We start from the raw sequence: 27,430 nt of genomic DNA, 5'->3' as shown, positions 1-27,430 counted from the left end.
TAAAAACGGTAGGTCAAGACTTATACAATGTAATGTAGAATCTTTGCAGAAAACAAATATCAAAATTCATTTCATTTCTCTCTTCACAAGACATTGTAGATGGTTCTATTTTACTAAGATGTAATGGCATAGTACAAAATATTACACATGTAGTCCATATTACTATTGCCACTACTGATGCATAGCTGCTGACATTTATTGACTGCTTATGTGTCTGTTAAAGTTGAGGAAACTGAGGCTCAGGGACAGGTTAAGTGATTTGACCAAGGTCATACAGCAGGTAATGAACACATTTTATTCTGTTTTATATTCCAGTTAGTTGTTTCCTGTCTCTTTCCCTCAGGATACTATGAGACCTGTGATGGCTAGGACCACATTTTACTTAGCTTTTCTCTCTTCCACCCTCCTTAAAAATCTGTAGAAGAATGAATTACAATCAGTGAAGCAGTGTGAAAACTCGATTTTACTGATTCAAACCAGGCTTTCTGGACTTTCTTTTTTTTTTTTTTTTTTTTTTTTTTTGAGATGGAGTCCCACTCTGTCACTCAGGCTAGAGAGCAGTGGTTGATCTCGGCTCACTGCAACCTCTGCCTCCCAGATTCAAGCAATTCTCCTGCCTCAGCCTCCCGAGTAGCTGGGATTGCAGGTGCATGCCACCACACCCAGCTAATTTTTGTACTTTTAGTAGAGGTGGGGTTTCACCATGTTGGCCAGGCTGGCCTCAAACTCTTGACCTCAGGTGATCCTCCTGCCTCGGCCTCCCAAAGTGCTGGGATTATGGGCATGAGCCACCTCTTTGTTGCCCCTGACAATGAAAGCTGGCTCTTTCTTGCTCTCCTTCTGATTACTAGATCTCCAAGGACTTGATTACTTTAGACTCTGATAACGCAGATCCCTAAACCAGAGACCCCAATCTGAAATGGACCCTAAGATCTTCCCTTCCAATTATTCGTTTCACAAACAAAAACCTATGACCTGGAGAAGCAGAGCAACTTAACCAAAGCCCCCAGCTGGTGCATAGCAGAGGCAGACCTAGAGGCCAGATGCTGTGCCTACTGGGCCACTGCAATCTGTACTCCAGGATCCTGCCTCCTGGTGACTCTGCGACCTTGGCATCTAGGCTCCAAGGCTTTACACTACAACTTATGCTGCCCCTAACAGCCACCTAACTCATGTCCTTGCAGGACACCCCACCCCACTACTGTTGCTGCACAACCCTGGCAATGCCAGTCGTCATCTTGTCCAAGTTAGACTTTAGCTTTTCTCATGACCCCCAACTATAAGGACATTCAATACAGCATATAGTAAAAGGCAACTAATTCCAACTAGTGGGTATGTATAGGGGGGAAGTCGGCCTAAATGAGTGAAATCTAAATTATGAAATTTTGGAAAGACACTCCATTTTATTATACATGACTGGAACTAGATTAATGAAGGGCAACCTAGTAGAGACACTTTTCAGGCCTTACTTTCATGCATGGTTGAGTGATCTGTGGAAGCCTAGGTAGAGTGCGAATCTTCTGCCTGTGGGCTTCAGCATCACACAGACCTGGATTGGAACCCTTGTCTCTTCTACTCATTAGCTATTTTTGATCTTAAGCAAGTTCCTTTTTTTTTTTTTTTTTTTTTTTTTTTGGAGACAGGGTCTTACTCTGTCACCCAGGCTGCTGCAGTGCAGTGGCATGATCTTGGCTCACTGCAACCTCTGCCTCCCAGTTTCAAGCGATTCTTGTGCCTCAACCTCCTGAGTAGCTGGGATTACAGGCACGTGCCACATCGCCTGGCTAATTTTTGTATTTTTCGTAGAGACAGGGTTTTGCCATGTTGGCCAGGCTGGTCTCAAACTCCTGACCTCAAGTGAGCCACCCACCTCGGCCTGCCAAAGTGCTGGGATTACAGGCGTGAGCCACTGCACCCAGTGAGTTCCTTAACTTCTCTGAGCTTCAATTTCTTCTTTTTTTTTTTTTTTTGAGACACAGTTTCACTCTTTTTGCCCAGGCTGGAGTGCAATGCCACGATCTTGGCTCACTGCAACTTCCGCCTCCTGGGTTCAAGTGATTCTCCTGCCTCAGCCTCCCAAGTAGCTGGGATTACAGGTGCCTGCCACCATGCCTGGCTTTTTTTGTATTTTTAGTAGAGATGGGGTTTCACCATGTTGGTCAGGGTGATCTCGATCTCTCGACCTCGTGATCCACCCACCTCGGCCTCCCAAAGTGCTGGGATTACAGGCATGAGCCACTGCGCCTGGCCTCAATTTCTTTATTTCAAAAATGGGAGTGATAATACCTAGCTCTTAGAGTTGCTATGGAAATTAAATAAGACAATGAAGAGTGCCAGCAACATTATAAGTGTCAATAATATTAGACATTATTAGTAATAAATAAGTACTTCAGCAGGCTTTAAAAGCAGCTTCTTTTGGTAAACAGTTTAAATATCCCTATAGTTATGCTGTTTATATGACTAATTTGCTTACTAAGCCCTGGGTTATTACAATTTTAGGTTAGTGGCATGCAAATTAATGAGGTTTCACAATTCTTTATTTTATATTAATGATTGTTATATCTTTCCTCATTAATCCAGCTCAAAGAATCAATATTCTATGCTTTAAAAATATAGAATGGCTGGGTGCAGTGGCTCATGCCTGTAATTCCAGCACTTTGGGAGGCTGAGGCTGGCAGATCGCTTGATCCCAGGAGTCCAAGACCAGCCTGGGCAACATGACGAAACCTCATCTCTACAAAAGAAAAAAAAATTAGCCGGGCATGATGGCATGTACCTGTAGTCCCAGCTACTCAGGAGGGAGTAGATCCTGAGGCAGGAGGATCGACCGAGCCCAGGAAGTTGAGGCTGCAGTGAGCCGAGATTGCACCACGGCAATCCAGCCTGGGCAACAGAGAAAAACCCTGTTTCAAAAAAATAAAAATAAATAAATAAATAAATAAATAAATAAAAAATAATTCTCCATCAAGTTGAAGGGTGAAACTTTTGAGTTATGCCTTCTCTTTAAAGTGCAGTGACAAGCAAACACAGATGATTGTGAGAAACAGAACATGAAATGGACAAGCTGAATCTCCCAGCCTGGTTGTAATCCCAGCTACTTGGGAGGCTGAGGCAGGAGAATTGCTTGAACCCGGGAGGCGGAGGTTGCAGTGAGCTGAGATTGTGCCACTGCACTCCAGCCTGGGCAACAGAGTAAGACTCTGTCTCAAAAAAAAAAAAAAAAAAGAGAGAGAGAGAGAGAATAGAGAATGGGGGCTGGGCGCGGTGGCTCACACCTGTTAATTCTAGCACTTTGGGAAGCCAAGGGAAGTAGATCACCTGAGGTCAGGAGTTCGAAACCAGCCTTGCCAACATGGCAAAACCCTGTCTCTGCTAAAAATACAAAAATTAGCCGGGCATGGTGGCAGATGCCTGTAATCCCGGCCACTCGGGAGGCTGAGGCATGAGAATCGCTTGAACCTGGGAGGTGGAGGTTGCAGTGAGCCAAGATTGTGCCACTGCACTCCAGCCTGGGTGACAGAGTGAGATTCTGTCTCAAAAAAAAAAAAAAAAAAAAAGAGAGAGAATGGGAAAAGAAAGACTGGAGATGGTAAATAAATACAGACAACTCTTTCAAAGAGACCTCTTTCACAATTGTACTGTAATCATGTCCAATTTACATGTCTATTTTTCCTAGTGTTCTGTGAACTCTGTGAGGACTGGGTCTTTTTAATTTTCGTATCTCTAGTGCCTTAAGCAGCAGCTGACACATGACTGGTGCTCAATGAATGGTTTGCTGAATGAGTACATAAAATGCTCAGTATAAGAGTGGGCTGGAATTTTTAAAGCATTTGCACATAATTTTATGCATGAGTTATAAAAATCGTGGGTCAAGACTTACACAATGTAATGTAGAATCTTTGCAGAAAACAAATATCAAAATTCATTTCATTTCTCTCTTCACAAGACATTGTAGATGGTTCTATTTTACAGTAGGCAAAATGGCTAGGGGTCTTCAGTGGATGTCTTACTTTAAAGTGTTTCCTTTAGCATTGTTCGGACTCAACCTCCTTTCCTTCTTACCCTATCAGTAAAGAACTGTTACCAAAAGGATAGTAAGCTGCCTTTTCCCTTACAAAGAATCTGCCTAATCACAAGACTTCAAGTTCCTCCTGCTAATGTAAGACTGAAATATTGAAAAGAGGAAATTTATGTTCATGCAGGAAAGTAACCTCCTTATTTTGCTACCAAATAAGATGACTGATTTATCATCTGCCAGTTTCTGGTAAGAATTGTAAAGAGCCCTGGGTCATGAGTCAAGGTAATCATTCTGTAATCTGGTGCTCCCCACAACTAAAACAAAAAGACACTAAGTAACACGAATTACATAACAGGTCAATTATAATCAACTTGTGATAAATCAAGGTCCATCTATATCCAGTCTTAGGATGTTAACAATCTTCCAAATTTCTTGACTGAACTCTTACCTGCACTGCCAAGGCACCACTGCGCATGTGGATTGTTGCAGCAGTTTCCTTAGCGATCTTGCCTTCTCCCACTGGGAGTCCATTCTTGTACAGTGATGTATTATTATTATTATTTTTTGAGATGGAGTCTCGCTCTGTCACCCAGGCTGGAGTGCAGCGGCGCAATCTCGGCTCATTGCAACCTCCGTCTCCCGGGTTCAAGCGATTCTCCTGCCTCAGCTTCCTGAGTAGCTGGGATTACAGGTGTGCACCACCAGGCCTGGCTAATTTTTTTGTATGTTAGTACAGACGGGGTTTCACCATGTTGCCCAGCTGGTCTTGAACTCCTGACTTCATGTGATCCACCTGCCTCGGCCTCCCAAAGTGCTGGGATTACAGGCGTGAGCCACTGCGCCTGGCCACGTACAGTGATTTTTAAAAATCAGATCCTTTTACTCACCTGCTTAAAACATTTTAATGACTTTACATCACACTTAGAATAAAATCTAAATTTCTTGGTGCTTCCCAGGAAGATCTGGGAAGCAGGATCTGGGCCCGGTGGAGCAGGTACTGTAAAATCTTAATCACTGTAAAATCCAAATCAACCACAAAAATGAGTACGTGCAAATAATTCACACCAGGAAAATTCAGTAAGCTTTTAAAAAGACACAGATGATCCCTTTTAAAACAAAGCATTCTTATCCTCAAAAACTGAGATGAAAAAGAAAACAAAGCGGGAGGAGCCAAGATGGCCGAATAGGAACAGCTCCGGTCTACAGCTCCCAGCGTGAGCGACGCAGAAGACGGTGATTTCTGCATTTCCATCTGAGGTACCGGGTTCATCTCACTAGGGAGTGCCAGACAGTGGGCGCAGGCCAGTGTGTGTGCGCACCGTGCGCGAGCCGAAGCAGGGCGAGGCATTGCCTCACCTGGGAAGCGCAAGGGGTCAGGGAGTTCCCTTTCCGAGTCAAAGAAAGGGGTGACGGACGCACCTGGAAAATCGGGTCACTCCCACCCGAATATTGCGCTTTTCAGACCGGCTTAAGAAACGGCGCACGACGAGACTATATCCCACACCTGGCTCGGAGGGTCCTACGCCCACGGAATCTCGCTGATTGCTAGCACAGCAGTCTGAGATCAAACTGCAAGGCGGCAACGAGGCTGGGGGAGGGGCGCCCGCCATTGCCCAGGCTTGCTTAGGTAAACAAAGCAGCCGGGAAGCTCGAACTGGGTGGAGCCCACCACAGCTCAAGGAGGCCTGCCTGCCTCTGTAGGCTCCACCTCTGGGGGCAGGGCACAGACAAACAAAAAGACAGCAGTAACCTCTGCAGACTTAAGTGTCCCTGTCTGACAGCTTTGAAGAGAGCAGTGGTTCTCCCAGCACGCAGCTGGAGATCTGAGAACGGGCAGTCTGCCTCCTCAAGTGGGTCCCTGACTCCTGACCCCCGAGCAGCCTAACTGGGAGGCACCCCCCAGCAGGGGCACACTGACACCTCACACGGCAGGGTATTCCAACAGACCTGCAGCTGAGGGTCCTGTCTGTTAGAAGGAAAACTAACAACCAGAAAGGACATCTACACCGAAAACCCATCTGTACATCACCATCATCAAAGACCAAAAGTAGATAAAACCACAAAGATGGGGAAAAAACAGAACAGAAAAACTGGAAACTCTAAAACGCAGAGCGCCTCTCCTCCTCCAAAGGAACGCAGTTCCTCACCAGCAACAGAACAAAGCTGGATGGAGAATGATTTTGACGAGCTGAGAGAAGAAGGCTTCAGACGATCAAATTACTCTGAGCTACGGGAGGACATTCAAACCAAAGGCAAAGAAGTTGAAAACTTTGAAAAAAATTTAGAAGAATGTATAACTAGAATAACCAATACAGAGAAGTGCTTAAAGGAGCTGATGGAGCTGAAAACCAAGGCTCGAGAACTACGTGAAGAATGCAGAAGCCTCAGGAGCCGATGCGATCAACTGGAAGAAAGGGTATCACCAATGGAAGATGAAATGAATGAAATGAAGCGAGAAGGGAAGTTTAGAGAAAAAAGAATAAAAAGAAATGAGCAAAGCCTCCAAGAAATGTGGGACTATGTGAAAAGACCAAATCTACGTCTGATTGGTGTACCTGAAAGTGATGTGGAGAATGGAACCAAGTTGGAAAACACTCTGCAGGATATTATCCAGGAGAACTTCCCCAATCTAGCAAGGCAGGCCAACGTTCAGATTCAGGAAATACAGAGAACGCCACAAAGATACTCCTCGAGAAGAGCAACTCCAAGACACATAATTGTCAGATTCACCAAAGTTGAAATGAAGGAAAAAATGTTAAGGGCAGCCAGAGAGAAAGGTCGGGTTACCCTCAAAGGAAAGCCCATCAGACTAACAGCGGATCTCTCGGCAGAAACCCTACAAGCCAGAAGAGAGTGGGGGCCAATATTCAACATTCTTAAAGAAAAGAATTTTCAACCCAGAATTTCATATCCAGCCAAACTAAGCTTCATAAGTGAAGGAGAAATAAAATACTTTATAGACAAGCAAATGTTGAGAGATTTTGTCACCACCAGGCCTGCCCTAAAAGAGCTCCTGAAGGAAGCGCTAAACATGGAAAGGAACAACTGGTACCAGCCGCTGCAAAATCATGCCAAAATGTAAAGACCATCGAGACTAGGAAGAAACTGCATCAACTAATGAGCAAAATCACCAGCTAACATCATAATGACAGGATCAAATTCACACATAACAATATTAACTTTAAATATAAATGGACTAAATTCTGCAATTAAAAGACACAGACTGGCAAGTTGGATAAAGAGTCAAGACCCATCAGTGTGCTGTATTCAGGAAACCCATCTCACGTGCAGAGACACACATAGGCTCAAAATAAAAGGATGGAGGAAGATCTACCAAGCCAATGGAAAACAAAAAAAGGCAGGGGTTGCAATCCTAGTCTCTGATAAAACAGACTTTAAACCAACAAAGATCAAAAGAGACAAAGAAGGCCATTACATAATGGTAAAGGGATCAATTCAACAAGAGGAGCTAACTATCCTAAATATTTATGCACCCAATACAGGAGCACCCAGATTCATAAAGCAAGTCCTCAGTGACCTACAAAGAGACTTAGACTCCCACACATTAATAATGGGAGACTTTAACACCCCACTGTCAACATTAGACAGATCAACGAGACAGAAAGTCAACAAGGATACCCAGGAATTGAACTCAGCTCTGCACCAAGCAGACCTAATAGACATCTACAGAACTCTCCACCCCAAATCAACAGAATATACATTTTTTTCAGCACCACACCACACCTATTCCAAAATTGACCACATAGTTGGAAGTAAAGCTCTCCTCAGCAAATGTAAAAGAACAGAAATTATAACAAACTATCTCTCAGACCACAGTGCAATCAAACTAGAACTCAGGATTAAGAATCTCACTCAAAGCCGCTCAACTACATGGAAACTGAACAACCTGCTCCTGAATGACTACTGGGTACATAACGAAATGAAGGCAGAAATAAAGATGTTCTTTGAAACCAACGAGAACAAAGACACCACATACCAGAATCTCTGGGACGCATTCAAAGCAGTGTGTAGAGGGAAATTTATAGCACTAAATGCCTACAAGAGAAAGCAGGAAAGATCCAAAATTGACACCCTAACATCACAATTAAAAGAACTAGAAAAGCAAGAGCAAACACATTCAAAAGCTAGCAGAAGGCAAGAAATAACTAAAATCAGAGCAGAACTGAAGGAAATAGAGACACAAAAAACCCTTCAAAAAATCAATGAATCCAGGAGCTGGTTTTTTGAAAGGATCAACAAAATTGATAGACCGCTAGCAAGACTAATAAAGAAAAAAAGAGAGAAGAATCAAATAGACACAATAAAAAATGATAAAGGGGATATCACCACCGATCCCACAGAAATACAAACTACCATCAGAGAATACTACAAACACCTCTACGCAAATAAACTAGAAAATCTAGAAGAAATGGATACATTCCTCGACACATACACTCTCCCAAGACTAAACCAGGAAGAAGTTGAATCTCTGAATAGACCAATAACAGGCTCTGAAATTGTGGCAATAATCAATAGTTTACCAACCAAAAAGAGTCCAGGACCAGATGGATTCACAGCCGAATTCTACCAGAGGTACATGGAGGAACTGGTACCATTCCTTCTGAAACTATTCCAATCAATAGAAAAAGAGGGAATCCTCCCTAACTCATTTTATGAGGCCAGCATCATGCTGATACCAAAGCCGGGCAGAGACACAACCAAAAAAGAGAATTTTAGACCAATATCCTTGATGAACATTGATGCAAAAATCCTCAATAAAATACTGGCAAACCGAATCCAGCAGCACATCAAAAAGCTTATCCACCATGATCAAGTGGGCTTCATCCCTGGGATGCAAGGCTGGTTCAATATACGCAAATCAATAAATGTAATCCAGCATATAAACAGAGCCAAAGACAAAAACCACATGATTATCTCAATAGATGCAGAAAAAGCCTTTGACAAAATTCAACAACCCTTCATGCTAAAAACTCTCAATAAATTAGGTATTGATGGGACGTATTTCAAAATAATAAGAGCTATCTATGACAAACCCACAGCCAATATCATACTGAATGGGCAAAAACTGGAAGCATTCCCTTTGAAAACCGGCACAAGACAGGGATGCCCTCTCTCACCGCTCCTATTCAACATAGTGTTGGAAGTTCTGGCCAGGGCAATCAGGCAGGAGAAGGAAATAAAGGGTATTCAATTAGGAAAAGAGGAAGTCAAATTGTCCCTGTTTGCAGACGACATGATTGTTTATCTAGAAAACCCCATCGTCTCAGCCCAAAATCTCCTTAAGCTGATAAGCAACTTCAGCAAAGTCTCAGGATACAAAATCAATGTACAAAAATCACAAGCATTCTTATACACCAACAACAGACAAACAGAGAGCCAAATCATGGGTGAACTCCCATTCACAATTGCTTCAAAGAGAATAAAATACCTAGGAATCCAACTTACAAGGGATGTGAAGGACCTCTTCAAGGAGAACTACAAACCACTGCTCAAGGAAATAAAAGAGGAGACAAATGGAAGAACATTCCATGCTCATGGGTAGGAAGAATCAATATCGTGAAAATGGCCATACTGCCCAAGGTAATTTACAGATTCAATGCCATCCCCATCAAGCTACCAATGACTTTCTTCACAGAATTGGAAAAAACTACTTTAAAGTTCATATGGAACCAAAAAAGAGCCCGCATTGCCAAGTCAATCCTAAGCCAAAAGAACAAAGCTGGAGGCATCACACTACCTGACTTCAAACTATACTACAAGGCTACAGTAACCAAAACAGCATGGTACTGGTACCAAAACAGAGATATAGATCAATGGAACAGAACAGAGCCCTCAGAAATAATGCCGCATATCTACAACTATCTGATCTTTGACAAACCTGAGAAAAACAAGCAATGGGGAAAGGATTCCCTATTTAATAAATGGTGCTGGGAAAACTGGCTAGCCATATGTAGAAAGCTGAAACTGGATCCCTTCCTTACACCTTATACAAAAATCAATTCAAGATGGATTAAAGATTTAAACGTTAAACCTAAAACCATAAAAACCCTAGAAGAAAACCTAGGCATTACCATTCAGGACATAGGCATGGGCAAGGACTTCATGTCCAAAACACCAAAAGCAATGGCAACAAAAGACAAAATTGACAAATGGGATCTAATTAAACTAAAGAGCTTCTGCACAGCAAAAGAAACTACCATCAGAGTGAACAGGCAACCTACAACATGGGAGAAAATTTTCGCAACCTACTCATCTGACAAAGGGCTAATATCCAGAATCTACAATGAACTCAAACAAATTTACAAGAAAAAAACAAACAACCCCATCAAAAAGTGGGCGAAGGACATGAACAGACACTTCTCAAAAGAAGACATTTATGCAGCCAAAAAACACATGAAGAAATGCTCATCATCACTGGCCATCAGAGAAATGCAAATCAAAACCACTATGAGATATCATCTCACACCAGTTAGAATGGCAATCATTAAAAAGTCAGGAAACAACAGGTGCTGGAGAGGATGTGGAGAAATAGGAACACTTTTACACTGTTGGTGGGACTGTAAACTAGTTCAACCATTGTGGAAGTCAGTGTGGCGATTCCTCAGGGATCTAGAACTAGAAATACCATTTGACCTAGCCATCCCATTACTGGGTATATACCCAAATGAGTATAAATCATGCTGCTATAAAGACACATGCACACGTATGTTTATTGCGGCACTATTCACAATAGCAAAGACTTGGAACCAACCCAAATGTCCAACAATGATAGACTGGATTAAGAAAATGTGGCACATATACACCATGGAATACTATGCAGCCATAAAAAATTATGAGTTCATATCCTTTGTAGGGACATGGATGAAATTGGAAACCATCATTCTCAGTAAACTATCGCAAGAACAAAAAACCAAACACCGCATATTCTCACTCATAGGTGGGAATTGAACAATGAGATCACATGGACACAGGAAGGGGAATATCACACTCTGGGGACTGTGGTGGGGTCGGGGGAGGGGGGAGGGATAGCATTGGGAGATATACCTAATGCTAGATGACACATTAGTGGGTGCAGCGCACCAGCATGGCACATGTATACATATGTAACTAACCTGCACAATGTGCACATGTACCCTAAAACTTAGAGTATAATAAAAAAAAAAAAAAAAAAAAAAAAGAATAAAATCTAAATTTCTTACTGGAGCCTACAAGCCATAGTACTAATATGGTGGCAAAGTTTAACAACTGGTTCTCTGGGGGAAAATAAAAAAGGGCTGAATTGTAGCATTTACCAATTTCAACAGCATCAGTACTCCCACTATGGCTGATTTCAGGCTGCCAAATGCGAAGTCGACCAGCTCCCAAATTTCCTGAAATTTAACAGTCAGTTCTCCTGAGCCAGTAGGAAGTGGTTCCAGCATGCTCGTAGGCTACAAGGTCCTATATGATCTGCTCTGCCCACCGATTTTTTTCTTTTTTTAAAAAAATATTTTTTAAGTTGGGTGCAGTGGCTCACGCCTGTAATCCCAGCATTTTGGGAGGCCGAGGTGGGCAGATAACTTGAGGTTGGGAGTTTGAGACCAGCCTGGCCAATATGGTGAAACCCCATTTCTACTAAAAATACAAAAATTAGCCAGGCGTGGTGGCGCATGCCTGTAGTCCCAGCTACTCGGGAGGCTGAAGCACGAGAATGGCTTGAACCCAGGAAGCAGAGATGGCTTGAACCCAGGAAGAAGTGAGCCGAGATCACGCCATTCCACTCCAACCTGGACGTCGCAGCGGACTCTGTCTCAAAATTTTTTTTTTTTTTTAACAGAGATGTGGTGTCACTATGTTGCCCAAGCTGGAGTGGGCAACACAGGCTATTCACAGGTGGAATCCCACTACTGATCAGCACAGGAGTTTTGATCTGCTGTTTCCAACCTGGGCCGGTTCACCCCTCCTTTGGCAACCTGGTGGTCCCCCGCTCCCGAGAGGTCACCATAGTGATGCTGAACTTAATGTGGACATCTGATTAGCTTAGTGCTCTACAGTCCAGAACTCTTGGGCTCAAGTGATCCTCCTTCCTCAGCCTTCCTAGTAGCTGGGACCACAGGCATGCACCACCATGCCTGACCCTCCCACCTTTTCAACTTTATCTTGGGTCACTCTTTTGTGACCCAAGATAAAGGGTCACAAAACCCTTCAACTGCACTGGCCTTCTTTCTGTTCTCCTCTGCTTGATGATTTCCAAATTTCTATCTGTATCTCTCCTCTGAGCCACAGGATCATGTAATCAACTAGCTACTTGACATTGCTACTCAGAAGTCTACTGAACATCTGAAACTTTATATGTCCTAATCAGAACTCTTGATTTTGCTCCACTCCAATCCTGACTGTCCTCTAGTTTTCCTCATGTCAGCAAATGGCACTGTCATCAACCTACTTGCTCAGGCCCAAAACCTGAGTCACCTTTAAGTTTTCTCTGTCTCTCACCTTTCTCTGATCTAATCCATCACTAACCAAGTTCCAGTGGCTCCAAACATGTCCCAAATTTGTTTACTTTTCTTTCTTTCCACTCTCACCCTAGTCCAAGCCACCATCATCTTTTGCCCACACTACTACAACTGTTACTAGCTGGTCTACCTGCCCTTATTCCCCATCTAGCAGTCAGAGCGATTTAATCAGGTTACTCCCTTGACTTCAACTCTTCAGTGGGTCCCCCATTATCATCAGGATAAACTCCAGGCTCTTTAATCTGGCTTACCAGGTGCTCCATGACCTGGCCTCTGCCTACTGCTCAGCCTGATCTCTTGCTGCTACCTGCATTATATTCTATGCTTTGGATACTTTTCAGCTCTACTCCCAGTACCTCACATCATCTCTCTTAAGCAAGGGTCAGTTTCCTTACCCATCATTTGACCTTCAGTCTCTGCCCTCTCCAACTCATCCTCCACATTGCAGCCAAGTACCCTTCCAAACTCATCAGATGTTACCATTGCTTTGCTCAGAAGCCTTCAACAATTCCCAATTTTCTAAAGAAAACATTTTGAGAAGAAAAATTTTCCAAAGAAGTTTACTAAAGACAATTTTAACAGAATTCAAAACCCTTTACAATTTGGCCCCTACCGGTTTTCCTAGTATCATTTCCCACTGCCACCCTGTGATGATTAATTTCATATGTCAACTTGGTTAGGCCACAGTACCCAGCTATTTGGGAAAAACACTAGTCTAGATGTTGCTGTAAAGGCATGTTTAAGATGAGTTTGACATTTAAATCAGTAGACTTTGAGTAAAACAAATTCCTGTCCATAATGTGAGTGGGCCTCCTCCAATCAGTGAGGGCCTTAAAAGAAAAAAGACTGAAGCCCCTCAAGGAAGAGGAGATTCTGCCAGCAGACTCCCTTCAGATTTAAACTGCGACATCAACTCTCCCTAGTCACCCATGCCCAAGTCAGATGCCACCTCATCCTGAAAATTTTCCAGATTCCACAATTGTGTACTGCTTGTTTCCTTCCTTTTCTTCAACTTTACCTCTCTCTTTTATTTTTATTTTTTGAGACGGAGTTTCGCTCTGTTGCCCAGGCTGGAGTGCAGTGGTGCAATCTCGGCTCACTGCAACCTCTGCCTCCCGGGTTCAAACAATTCTCTGCCTCAGCCTCCCGAGTAGCTGGGATTACAGACAACCGGCTATTTTTTTTGTATTTTTAGTAGAGATGGGGATTCACCATCTTGGCCAGGCTGGTTTTGAACTCTTGACCTTGTGATCCACCTGCCTCAGCCTCCCAAAGTGCTGGGATTACAGGCGTGAGCCACTGTACCTGGCCACAACTTTACCTCTTTTAAAAAGTTTTTTTTTTTTTTTTTTTTTATGGAATCTCGCTCTGTCACTGAGGCTGGAGTGCAGTGGCACGATCTTGGCTTACTGCAACCTCTGTCTCCCAGGTTCAAGTGATTCTCCTGCCCCAGCCTCCAAGTAGCTGGGATTAGAGGTGTGTGCCACCACGCCCAGCTAATTTTTGTATTTTTAGTAGAGACAGGGTTTCACGATGTTGGCCAGGCTGGTCTCGAAATCCTGGCCTCAAGTGATCTGCCTGCCTTGGCCTCCCAAAGTGCTGGCATTATAGGCATGAGCCACTGTGCCCGGCCCTCTTTTTAAAACTTTTTATTGTGAAAAATCTCAACCATATATAAAAGTAGAGAGGCCAGTAAAATGAACACAAAGTTCCATCACCCAACTTCAACAATTAGCTATACGTGGCCAATCTTCTTTCATCTCTACCCCCACGAGACATCATTTCAATTCATCTGACTTACATATTATTAATTAGAATTATGTTTATCTAAACTATAATTGCTCCTCAAAAATATATGTATAATACCGTTATCACACCTAAAAATTTATAATTCCTTAATATCATCACATATTGAGTTCAGTTAGTATTCATATTTCCTTGGTTATTTTATAATTGTTTTCCAGCTTCTGTTTGAATTGGGGCTTTCTCTCTCCATATCTTGTGCTCCCTTAGCTTTTTTTTTTTTTGGAGCGATCTCGGCTCACTACAACCTCCCCATTCCCGGGTTCAAGTGATTCTCCTGCCTCAGCCTCCCAAGTAGCTGGGACTATAGGTGCCTGCCACCATGTCCAGCTGTTTTGTATTTTTAGTAGAGATGGGATTTCACCATGTTGGCCAGGCTGGTCTCGAACTCCTAACCTCAAGTGATCCACCTGCCTCAGCCTCCCAAAGCGCTGGAATTACAAGCATGAGCCACCGCCCCTGGCCTCCCTTAGCTTCTCGTTTAGACCTCTGCTGCGGCACACTCTACCTTATATGAGTTATCTGGGTGTCTTTATGCTCCCTCCCAGCCAGCAAGCCAGTCAGCAGGCACGGGGCCTTCCTAGTCATCCAAGCTCTTCAGGATCTTTCACTCTTCATTGTACATACCAGGCACTTATTAAATGTCAAATCAAATTCCTGTCAATATCAGTGTCACTAGTAGCTTTTCCCAAATATAGCTGTTTACTCACATAAGCTACGTGGATAGTCATGAAATAAAGACATGGCCTAGCACTGAGTGCTTTCTTTTTCTTCTTTCTTTCTTTTTTTTCCTCTTTCTTTTCTTTTCTTTTTTTTTTTTCTGTTGGAGACACAGTCTCACTGTCTTCCGGGCTGAAGTGCAGTGGCACGATCTTGGCTTACTGCAACCTCCACCTCCCAGGTTCAAGCGATTCTCCTGCCTCAGCCTCTTGAGTAGCTGGGATTACAGGTGACTGCCACCAAGCCTGGCTAATTTTTCTTAGTAGAGATGGGGTTTCACCATGTTGGCCAGGCTGGTCTTGGACTCCTGACCACAGGTGATCTGCCTACCTCGGCCTCCCAAAGTGCTGGGATTACAGGCATGAGCCACTGCGCCTGGCCCACTGATTGCTTTCTATATACTATCTCATTTAATCCTCACAAAAGCCTCATGAAAGAGGTAGTATTATCGTATTAGCTTGATTATATGGATGACAAAATGGAGTTGGTGAGAGGATAAACGCCAGTCTCTAAAATCACAGACCATGACACAAAGCATCAACTTGAATCTGGGTCTGTTTGACTCAGAGCCAAGCTCCACTCCACTAAGCTCCACTGTCTTCTGACGCTCAGGACTGAAAATATTCTCTTAGCCCTTTACAGACTTGTTACCGCACATCACTGGTGGATGTGGCTGCCAAAGCATGTACACTGAATGAGTTCTTTAGGCTGAGACAGGAGCCTGTGCTGTGGTATGAATAAGTGCCTCTACAAGTGTCCTACTAAGTGGGTGTCCAGAACACAAAGGCAAGTATGGGGTGCTGGTTGCTCCCAAAGGGCAAAGCAATGGCAAGCCTAGATCCCAGTACATCTCAACCGTTAGCTGCATTAGGCTGACCACGGAAGCTTTTAAAAACCCTCAGTGACTGGGATCCACCCCTAGAGATTGCAATTTAACTGAACGGGGGCGAGGCCTGGACATTAGCACTTTTTACAAGCTCCCCAGCTGATTCTGATGTGCAGCCAGGGTTGAGAGCCACTGATTGGACCTTCCATGGCACAAGGCAGCTCTGGGCTCAAACCTGAGTCCATCAGCCTGCTGCTGACACTGAGAGTGCCTGGGAGACAAAGCACATGGGCCCTGAAGCCAGACTGTTTGGACTCGGTCCCCCTGCTTTGCCACTCACTAGCTCTGTGATGGTTGGCAAGTGCCTTTACCTTCTGGAGCTTCAATTTCCTCATCTGTAAAATGGGGTAATAATAATAACACCAACTTTAAGAACTGCTGTCAAAATGAAATGATTTAATACATGTAAGTTGCTTAGAACTGTATTTGACATAGAGCAAGCGCTAAAGAATTAACCACCATTGTTATTATTATTTAAACTTGTAAGAAAGACAAGTATGCTGAAGAACAAACCAACCCGCTAGATTGGAATGGCCATTCATCCAAACTGTATCTTACTAGTAAAGAGAAATGAAACATGTCACGCAGCTTGTCACAAGAACCTGAACTTAAGTCCTTCTACACAAACCCAGGCAACTATCCCATAGCTGTCTAGTTCAGACCCACAGCTCCCAGGATGAGCACACTGGATTCTGCAGCCTGACTTTGTTACTATCTGTATAACCCTGGTCAAGTCATTTAGCTCCCTAAACTTTAGTTTTCTCACATGTCAAATGAGGAGACTGAAACAAAATGTCCTTGAAGACCCTTTCCAGATCCTGTAATCCATGCTGCTGGCCAGAATCCTTGCTCCTGCCTTCCTCTAGGACTTCAAACCTGCCATTTCCTCGGCCTCACTAAGTCTGTCTTATTGATCAGAATAAACATCATTTCCCCAGGGAAATCTTCTGAGACCTCCACACGAAGTCAGGAGCCTACTGAACACTTTCAGTCACCCTGTGCTTCTCCTTCATGGCACTTAACACAGTTTGTAATGACTCAGTGTATAATTATTTCGTTCATGTGTACTCCTGCCCCCAACTGCTCCATCTCCTAGACTGTAAATACTGTGGGGGCAGCAACCACATTTGTTGTGTTTATGGTTTTGGCCTCAAAGCTTACCTGGTGCATGGTAGAGGTCGAGGTGTTTAATACATATTGAAGGAAAGAAATAACAAACTTGCAGTAGATACAAATAAAGAACAAAGACTTAAAAGCAAAGCACTTGATTATTCCTGTGATAAATTCCTCAGAGGTCTTCCAACAGAGGCAACGTTTTGGTTGTTCAGTCTTTCCATGAGTACTGAAATAACTGAACAATATTTATAAAGATGTAAAACACAGCTGGGCACGGCAGCTCACGCCTGTAATCCCAGCACTTTGGGAGGCCGAGGCAGGCGGATCATGAGGTCAGGAGATGGAGACCATCCTGGCCAACATGGTGAAACCCTGTCTCTACTGAAAATACAAAAATTAGCTGGGCATGGTGGCGTGTGCCTGTACTCCCAGCTACTCGGGAGGGTGAGGCAGGAGAATCGCTTGAACCTAGGAGGTGGAGGTTGCAGTGAGCTGAAATTGCGCCACTGCACTTCAGCCTGGCGACTCCATCTCAAAAAAAAAAAAAAAAGATGTAAGACACATATGCCCTTTGACCAAAGCAAAAATTCTAGGAATTTAGCCCAGCAGTCCCTAACCTTTTTGGCACCAGGGACTGGTTTTGCCGAGGACCATTTTTCCACGGACAAGGGGTTGGGGGGAATGGTTTTGGGATGAAACTGTTCCATCTCAGATCATCAGGCATTAGATTCTCATAAGGAGTGTGCAACCCAGGTCCCTTGCACGCACAGCTCACAATAGGGTTTGCACTGCTATGAGAATCTAATGCCGCCGCTGATCTGACAGGAGGCGGGGCTCAGGCCATAATGCTCACTCGCTGGCCACTCACTTCACGCTGTGTGGCCCAGCCAGGTTCCTAACAGGCCACGGACCAGGGGTTGGGGACCCCTTTTTATCCTACAGATCTATTTGCATGTGCGTGAAAAATGTATGTAACAAGGAGATTTGTTACAGCATTGTTAGTACTAGCAGAAGACTGGAAATAATCTAAATGTCCACCAATCAGGGACTAGTTAAATAAATAGTATATCATACCGTTGAATACTATGTCATAAATGAAAAATATGTGGCAGCTTTATCTGGATTGATGTGGTATCATTTCCAAGATACATTTTTTTTTTTGAGACAGTTTCACTCTTATCACCCAGGCTGGAGTGCAATGGTGTGATCTCGGCTCACTGCAACCTCTGCCTCCCAGGTTCAAGTGATTCCTCCGCCTCAGCCTCCTGAGTAGCTAGAATTACAGGTGCCCACCACCACGCTCAGCTAATTTTCATATTTTTAGTAGAGACAGGGTTTCACCATGTTGGCCAGACTGGTCTTGAACTCCTGACCTCAAGTGATCCACCTGCCTCGGCCTCCCAAAGTGCTGGGATTGCAGGCGTGAGCCACCGTGCCCAGCCGAGATACATTTTCAGGTGGAAAAAAAACAGGGCACAGAAGAGTGTATGTAGTGTGCTGCTGCTGACCTAAAAACAGAACATAAATGTACAAGTTTATGTGGATCTTTGCATAGACCATCTTTGGAAAGATACAGGTAAACTGCTAACAACAGTACTGACTCACAGGAGAGCTGAATGGCTAAGGACAAAGGTTAGAGAGGTTTACTTTTCAGCATATACTCGTTGCACCTTTTGGATTTTGTATCATGTGTATGTGTTACCCACTCAAAAGATAGAATACTTAATTTTAAAAGGGCATTAAAAAGGAAAGACCAGAGAAAGAAAAGGAAAAAAAATTCATAGGGAAAAGAAAAGAGTCTTCGAGCTGGAGCACACAGGAAGGAGCTCAGAACCTTCTGCATGTTATCTGGAAACAACTTGTATCTTCTGTGGATGTGGAGGACAGGACCTGATGACTAAGCTGTCCAATTCCCAAACCATCTGAGGACATATATGTGGGGGAGGTGGTTGTGGCAGGAGGCTTCAGTCTTTTGGCAAATATCCAATAATCAAACAAAAAAAAATGCCAGTCATATTGGAGTAAATGAACCTTTCTGTCCTGTGAACCACATGACCCATGTTTCTCTTGGCATAGCCGGGACCCAAATAGTTGTCCTTGTACAGCTGGGAAGCACCCGGGCTCTGCAGCGGGGACATTGGTACGAGTGGGTGTAGGCAGCTGCCCGCCAGCAAGGCAAGCCTACAAGCTCCCCTTGATCCCCTCCAGTGTGAATGCCTTCCGATTCAGTGGCAGGCTAGAGGGTTGACTAGCTGCTCAGAAAGCCTGCGATCACAATGGGGGAAGCAAGCAAACCACAGTAGGTTAGTATTCAGCTTGGACGAAGAAAAGAGAAACAGCCAGTTCCTGTGTGGTGATTGGGGGTGGGGGTTGGGGAGACCCAAAGTGCAGCTGGGCCTGACTGTAGAAAGCAATTGCCATGCAAGTGAGCAGAGCTGCTGAGGCCTGGGTCACAGGCCTGGCATGTGCTGCCTGCCGTGCCAACTTTGAAAGTGTCACCTTGCCTGGGGGTGAGATAGGGTGGGGAGGGTGAAGGAAAAGATTTGGCAGTGACAGTTCTCAGAAGGCTGAGAACATACAGAGGTGTGCAGTGCTTGCACATGGAGCCTGTCTGTAAAGCCTGTTGTTACGCTAACCAAACCAAAAAATTCTGTACGAACTCTCGATTCCTGTCGCTGCTCATCATTAGCTATACATATCCAAGGTCTATTGAGGTTCTGTGAGCCCAGCTCATTTGTGTGTTTATAGTAATCATAGGAAACATGGAAACACATCTGGACTGGCTTTTTTTTTTTTTTAAATAGAGTTTCACTCTGTCGCCCAGGCTGGAGTGGTGCAATCTCGGCTCACTGTAACCTCTGCCTCCTTGGTTCAAGTGATTATCATGCCTCAGCCTATTGAGTAGCTGGGACTACGGGCGCGCGCCACCATGCCCAGCTAATTTTTTAATTTTTATTAGAGACGGGGTTTCGTCGTGTTGGCCAGGCTGGTCTGGAACTCCTGGCCTCAAGTGATCCACCCACCTCGGCCTCCCAAAGTGCTGGGATTACAGGCGTGAGTCGCCGCGCCCGGCCTTGGACTGGTTTTTATGGTTCTAATCAGGCCTTCCATGCTGTGCACAGATTCTGAAGTGATGCTTCAAGAACAATAAACATGGCATCTTAGCATTATTGACAGTACTTATTATGGGCCTGGCTCTGCATTTGCACTAAACGAATTTAGTCTTTGCTGCAAGTAGATGAGGTAGGCACCATTCTTACCCTCAAAACAGATGAGGAAGATGAGGCTCAGATGGGTTATGTGGTGTACACAAGTTCACGCGGGAGTAAGTGGCAAGGCTGGGATCCAAAGCTCACACTGTTACCCACTGAGCTAGTCTGCCCATTACAGCCTCAAGAGGAACACAGCCGTCGTAGGCAAATAAGCAACAGCTCTGTGGAAAAAAGGAGGTGAAAATTGGTACTTCCTGTGAATGCTCCCAGCCAGCTGCGGGTCCTCCCTCTTGACAGCAGACCTTTCCTGGGACCTTTCTCTCCCTTTCCCTTATCTCCCTCTTCACCTCCACTTTGAGGTGGGGAGTGAGGGTGGGAACATCCTATCTTAGGTGCTGTTACCGTTTAGCTGGAGTTCAAAGAAGCCTGCTCAGCACAGGGTGGTCATTTTGACTCCCAGATCTTTATCTCTTCCAAGGAATAAGCCAGCTCAGGTCAGGGGAAGAGGACAGAGTGATTTTACACTAAGTGGAGTTAGGAAGGCTCTTCCCCATGCCTTCCTTGCCTTCCCTCTAGGGACAAGTCTTGTTTCCATGCTCAACAGCTGCCATCCCTAAAGTATTTCGGGCACTCTATACCTTTTGAAAAAAAAACAAGGGTGGGGAGACTTTTCCTTTCCTTTCACTTTAATAGTGACGCTCATACAGAGCCACCTTGCCTAAGGGATGTCCAGACATCTACCTATATTTGAAAAGCATCTTTTTTTTTTTTTTTTCTGACTGCTAACGCAATGCTACTCAGTTAGAAGAATTTGGTTCACAAAGGGGCCAGACCTAAAAGTAAGATGACAGCAGAGAGTTGAAAATACAACAAACTAAAGGTAAGGCTCCACTCCTCTCCACTACCCTGAAGGCTTAGAACCTAGCAGTGTTTGTACCTCTGGACAGGTAATTTGACTCTGTTAGGCAAATAGAACTCTGTTCCTACTAAGAGTAGATGCTATGCCAACCGGGAAATATTGAAGTAGGCAGAAAACCTGGAACTTTGTTAGCACCTCCTCGCAGGGATAGTTATAACAATTTACTCTCCCATCCTGGGGCTTTGCTTCTGCTCCCAGCCCTGCCCCCTGTGGTAGGCGGGCTTTCTTCCCAGTCCCTCTGAGCAGTTGTCGTTCAAGGCTGGCCAAAGACCTGTGTCTACTGAATGGTCTATGCCTGTGGCTCACTGCTCATTACGGCTTCTCAAGTCAAAGCAACAAGTAGGGCTTTCCATTGCCAGACTGCCAGGGACTAAAGCAGACCCCAGGACAGCCCAGTTTTCCAAAGATTTTTTTTTTTTCCTCTCTCTAACTTGAGTTAACCATTCCCTGGCCAAAGCCAGGCTCGTTATGCTCTGAGTGTTTGTGTCCTCCCAAAATTCATCTGTTGAAATCCTGACTCCTAGGGTGATGGTTTTAGGAGGCAGGGCCTTTGGGAGGTGATTAGGCCATGAAGGCAAAGCTCTCATGAATGGGATTCGGGTCCTTTTAAAAGAGATGGAAGAAAGCTAGCTCCCCCTTCCACCATGTGAGGGCAAAGCAAGAAGGCTCTAGGAAGCTGGCCTTCGCCAGGTATCAAATCTGCCTTGACCTTGGACTTCTCAGTCTCCAGAACGGTGAGAAATACATTTTGGTTGTTTATAAGCCATCTAGTTTATGATATTTTGTTATTGCAGCCTGAACGGATTAAGACAAGGCTATGGCCTCTCAGTTTCTGAGCTTGCAAAGTATTGATTTTCTCAACTCTTGCACTGAGGCTGTGGACTCCCAATATCAAGGTTTGCTTTCCCGCTCCCTCATCCTCTAGTCCCACACCTGGGGCAAGGGAACTAAAGTCAAAATGATCCAGTTCCCTTGCCTACAGGATTAGGCTCCTGTACTCTTGGTGAATAAAAAAAGGGCCTGAGGAAGGAGAGACATAGGTTCAAGTCCCAGCTTCGCCACTTACTTACTAGCTATGTGATGGTTGGGTAAGTGACTTACACCTTGTGCCTTGTTTCCTCATCTATAAAATAGGAGTACTAAGAGTACTTATTTCATAGGGTCAATAAAGACAGTTAAATGGGATAATAAACTGCCTTGTATACATTAAGTGACCAATAAGTGGTAGTTATTATTATATTATTATAATTTCTTTCTTTTTTTTTTTTTTTGAGACGGAGTCTTGCTCTGTCGCCCAGGCTGGAGTGCAGTAGTGCGATCTCCGCTCACTGCAAACTCTGCCTCCCAGGTTCGCGGCATTCTCCTGCCTCAGCCTCCCAAGTAGCTGGGACCACAGGCGCCCACCACCACGCCCGGCTAATTTTTTGTGTTTTAGTAGAGACGGGGTTTCACCGTGTTAGCCAGGATGGTCTCGATCACTTGACCTCGTGATCCGCCTGCCTCGGCCTCCGAAAGTGCTAGGATTACAGGCGTGAGCCACCGTGCCCGGCCTATAATTTCTTTCTTTTTTTTTTTTCTCAAGGGAAAGCGCGAACACAGTCCCCCACTACCACAAATTGTGCAGTCGAGTTTCCCACATTTGGGGAAATCGCAGGGGTCAGCACATCCAGAGGGCAATGGATAAGCCTCGCCCTGGGAAAACCACCTTTGTGATCATGGTATCTCCCCTGCCAGTTAAGCATATATTATTATAATTTCTTAATCGCAGGGAAGGCTTTCTTGTCATCACTTCCCTTAACATAGTTTGCCCCCATCCTTATCCCTGACAAAAACCTCCCCAGCAAAGTACAGCATAGATTTACATGCATTCATTCAAATCTGGTCACATTTACAGAAAGCAACCAACTTTTGTTTTTCTTTTTTTTCCTTTTCTTTCTTTTCTTTTTTTTTTTTTTGAGACAGAGTCTTGCTCTGTTGCCCAGTCTGGAGTGCAGTGGTGCAATCTCAGCTCACTGCAACCTCCACCTCCTGGGTTCAAGCTATTCTCTTGTCTCAGCCTCCTGAGTAGCTGGGATTACAGGCGTGTGCCACCATGCCAGGATAATTTTGTATTTTTAGTAGAGGCGGGGTTTCACCATGTTGGCCAGGCTGGTCTCAAACTCCTGACCTCCGTTGATCGGCCTGCCTCAGCCTCCCAAAGTGTGGTGATTACAGGCGTGGGCCACTGCGCCCGGCCTACAGTTGACCTTTGAACAACATGGATTTGAGTTGTGCTGGTTCACTTATATGTGGATTTTTTTCAATAAATACAGTCGGCCCTCTGTTTCTGTGGGTTCTGCATCCACAATCAAATTTGGGATGCGGGACTTGTGTATAAGGAGGGCCAACTTTTTGTGTCCACAGGTTTCACAGGGCCGACTTCAGGGCTGAGAAATGAGTGGATTTTGGTATCAGAGAGGGATTCTGCAACCAATGGCCTGCAGACACCTAGGGACGACTGTATAAATTTGATGGTGCTATGATTTGTCAAGCACTTCCAGCCACCATACAAAGCGCCAGGAGGCTGGAATGAAGAGGAGGTGTAAATCAAAATGGTGTCAAGAATTTTTCCTTTTGTCCTTTTAGCATATTTGTCTATCCTGAAACGTTAACGGCTGTTTGCACTGAGATGCATAGAACCTGATTGCTAGGGTAGGAGATGGAAGACAGTGCATTCTCAGAGCGAAGTGCATAGACAGTTTTAGACAGGGGACATGCAGAGGTTTTCTTAGGGCAGCAGGTTGAGCAGGAGGCAGGCTTGGGTGTTCTTACCTTCATCTTGGGTAGGTACAACCACACGGACTTGGGACTCACCTAGCAGACAGCGAGATCTCCTAAGCTGTCCCTAAACTTCATTTTTAAACAAGTATTAGATGTCTGCTACATGAGGCTGTGTGTTGTGAGGATATACAAATGTGTAAGACATACTTCCCACAGGCAAAGAGTTTGCAATCTAGAGGAAATAAGGGACACAAAAGATTATAACAAAAGGAAGCATGTGGCATGGGCCATAAGACAGCTCTAGCAAGAGTGAGCCATTCAGGAGCGGGAGACTACTGCTTGGGGAGATGGGAGAAGACTTCAGGAGGCGGCTTTGATAGTGAGGGAACAGCAGGGCAATAGTGTTAAGATGGGAAGAGGTAGGGCATGGACAGAAATGCCATGGAAAAGAAACTGGCTGGATCAGAGGGCACGTATAGGCTAACAGCATCATTTAAAAGGGGTTATTTGGCCGGGCACGGTGGCTCATGCCTGTAATCCCAGCAGTTTGGGAGGCTGAGGCGGGTGGATCACCAGAGGTCAGGAGTTCGAGACCAGCCTGGGCAACATGGTGAAACCCCATCTCTACTAAAAATACAAAATTAGCTGGGTGTGGTAGTGCATGCCTGTAGTCCCAGCTACTCGGGAGGCTGAGGCAGGAGAATCACTTGAACCCAGGAGGCGGAGGTTGCAGTGAGCCGAGATTGCACCACTGCACTCCAGCCTGGGTGACAGAGCGAGACTCTTGTCTCAAAAATAAAAAGGGGGTGGGTGGTATTCACCCACAAAGCTCTTAGAACAAAATAACTATGCCCTTGGGGGTTGGGTGGGGGACAGTGAAAATACGGCATCTGCAGTTATTAACTGAGTAGATTGTTAGTTAACTCAGCTTCTCTTGCCCCAGAATCCCCTCTGAAGTGGGCTGGAGCACCTCCATTGTGGTTCTACAAAGGCAAAACATCTACCTTGATCCATCAAGATAGGACAGCTGTTTTGGGGATGGGAAAAGCCAACTCATTTCTTAAACAACAGGTATGTGCTACAGTAGGTCAGAAAAGACAGCCATCACTGAGACAAACCTCAGTTGAGCCTTTAAGAAAATTGGGCAGATGTTCCAAGACAGAGGTAACCTCATGAACAAAGGCCTGGTGACTGGAATGTGAAATGCACTTAGTCTTCAGGGCTTGGGAGAAGGGGCTAAGAAGATTAGTTTGATGAACTTGGAGGCTTGAATAGAGCAGAGGTCATACGAATGTGTGTTTTGTTTAGCCCAGCCAGTACTTAACAATTTTCATTTGCCAGCAGTGAAAAACTGGGAGATTTTACATAAAAATCTGGATTTTAGACTCCTTTGAAAACTGGGCCTACATTTCTAAATGGCATCCGTCCTTTGGAGAGGAGGAACTGGCCACAGCCTCTACTGGCTCTCTTTCTTCCTTTCTGTCATCCATATTTAGATGCAAATCACATTTTGTGAGCACAGTGAAGTTTAGCTCTCCAGAATGCTTTTGAAAGCCATGATGGCTCGGAATGCATTTGAAGGCTTTTTTTTTTTTTTTTTTTTTTTTTTTTTGAGATGAAGTTTCGCTCTGTCACCGAGGCTGGAGTGCAGTGGCACAATCTCAACTCACTGCAACCTCCACCTCCTAGGTTCAAGCGATCCTCCCGCCTCAGCCTCCTGAGTAGCTGGGACTACAGGCACCTGCCATGATGCCCAGCTAATTTTTTTGTGTGTGTTTTAGTAGAGACGGGGTTTCATTATGTTGACCAGGCTGGTCTTGAACTCCTGACCTCAAGTGATCCACCCACCTTGGCTTCCCAAAGTGGTGGGATTACAGACGTGGGCCACCAGGCCCAGCCTGAAGGCTTATTCTTTACAGGGTGAGTGTATGTTATCTGGGTTTCCCTACATTCTCTTTTTCATGTTACTTCCAAGTTTCTGCAGGCATTTGTTTTTGTAACTTCTTATATAAAGGGCCTCTGTGCAACAAGGATCGCACAGTTGGTAAGGGAAACATGCCAAGCCAAGGGGCTCAGCCTTTTTTCTCTGGGGACCATCAAGAAGGACACAACAACAGGCTGAGTACAGTGGCTCATGCCTGTAATCCCACCACTTTGGGAGGTCAAAGCGGGAGGATGGCTTGAGCCCAGGAGTTTGAGACCAGCCTAGGCAACATAAGGAGACCAGGAGACCTCATCTCTACAAAACATTTAAAATATTAGTCAGGCATAGGTGGCGCATGCCTGTGGTCCCAGCTACTTGGGAGGCTGAGGTGGAAGGATTGCTTGGGCCCGGGAGGTTGAGGCTACAATGAGCTGTGATTGTGCCACTGCACTCCAGCCTGGGAGAGAGAGCAAGACCCTGTCTCACAAAAAGAAAAAAAAAAAAAAAAAAGGATCTAACGCAGACAGATCTGAGAAAGATTCATCTGACAGAATCCCATATGGGCTGGGCTGGAGAGGATTGAAATGAGCACTGACTCTGGAGACAAGCTCCCTGGGCTTATATCCCAGCTCAATTACTGGATGGGTGAACTTGCAGGCTACAAAACCTTTCGGTGCCTCAGTTTTCTCATCTGTAAAATGGACTTAATAATAACAGTGCCCACCTTGTAGGGCTGTTGTAAGGATTAAATGAGATAATGAACATAAAGCACTTAGCACAGTGCCTAGTACATATTAATATTCAATGCTTAAGATCATTTTTAGAATTAATCCTGGAGACCAATGAGGAGATTACTGTAATAGCCTAGGTATGAGCTGATAAGGTCCAAGATTAGGGCAAGAGGCAGTGACAAAAAGAAAGACCAGCATGGGAATGTTAGGAATGAAGAAGCAACAGGGCTCAAGGTTAACCGGGTGAGGGGAAGGGGAAGAGTCAAACACAAGTTGTGGATTTCCAGCCTGAGTCACTGGGGCAATGATGGAATTGAAATGGAAAACTCTGGAATAACAGTGTTAGGAAAAGAAGAGGTCAGCTTGATGCACATTAAGTTAGAGGTGACAGTGGGGATATGATAGCCAAATAGTGATGTCGAGCAGGCTGTGGGAAATGTGGGACCATGGCTCAGAAGGGAGGTCAGGATTGAAGATGTAGATATGAACATGAAAAACTACAAGAGGGGATGAGCACCCTGAGAGGGAATGAATGAAGTGACTGTGTCCAATTCAACAAAGGTAACCCGAGGTGTCGAGCATCTCTATTTGAGTAGGCTGGGGCCTCTGTTTATTCACTGACCATGTATATTCTGCTCAGTCAGCTGTACCACTCGGATACCACCTTTGTCCTTCATCTTATGTGCTTTCAGTTCAAATGCTGACCTGGCCCAATCCTGCTTACCTTGTGAGCTGTGATGGGGTCAAAGTCCACTGGGGTATAAAGCAACAGGCTCACACTTGGTTTTATATTTGATGAAATGGAGACACCTAATATGGGCAATA

General features: G+C 44.7%; 1 protein-coding gene and 2 pseudogenes across 9 annotated transcripts in view; all 3 read right to left on the bottom strand.

Moving 5' to 3' along the window:
• SLC25A43 (solute carrier family 25 member 43) overlaps nt 1-27,430 on the bottom strand; it is a 55,143-nt gene that overhangs the window by 7,805 nt on the left and 19,908 nt on the right. For 3 of the 9 annotated variants that reach the window (XR_001755662.2, XR_938547.2, XM_047441902.1), the window contains one exon: nt 27,330-27,415. The exons of 2 other annotated variants lie outside the window; for them this stretch is intronic. Coding sequence is in view for 2 of the 7 variants with exons in the window: in XM_047441902.1 (XP_047297858.1) it covers nt 27,349-27,415 (67 nt within the window). In the remaining 5 variants the exon portion in view is untranslated. Of the gene's footprint in view, nt 1-20,319; nt 20,493-27,329; nt 27,416-27,430 lie in introns of those variants that run through there. 4 more of the 9 variants (XR_938546.2, XR_938545.2, XR_001755664.2 and 1 more) reach the window with 3 other exon arrangements.
• RN7SL118P (RNA, 7SL, cytoplasmic 118, pseudogene) lies at nt 11,854-12,155 on the bottom strand (annotated as a pseudogene).
• Nucleotides 22,769-22,932, bottom strand: RNU1-67P (RNA, U1 small nuclear 67, pseudogene; annotated as a pseudogene).

This window comes from Homo sapiens, chromosome X (assembly GCF_000001405.40).
Source record: "Homo sapiens chromosome X, GRCh38.p14 Primary Assembly".
In the NCBI taxonomy this organism is placed as follows: Eukaryota; Metazoa; Chordata; class Mammalia; order Primates; family Hominidae; genus Homo; species Homo sapiens.
The sequence above is the reverse complement of the archived record's forward strand: the minus strand, read 5'-3'. Positions and strand labels throughout refer to the sequence as shown.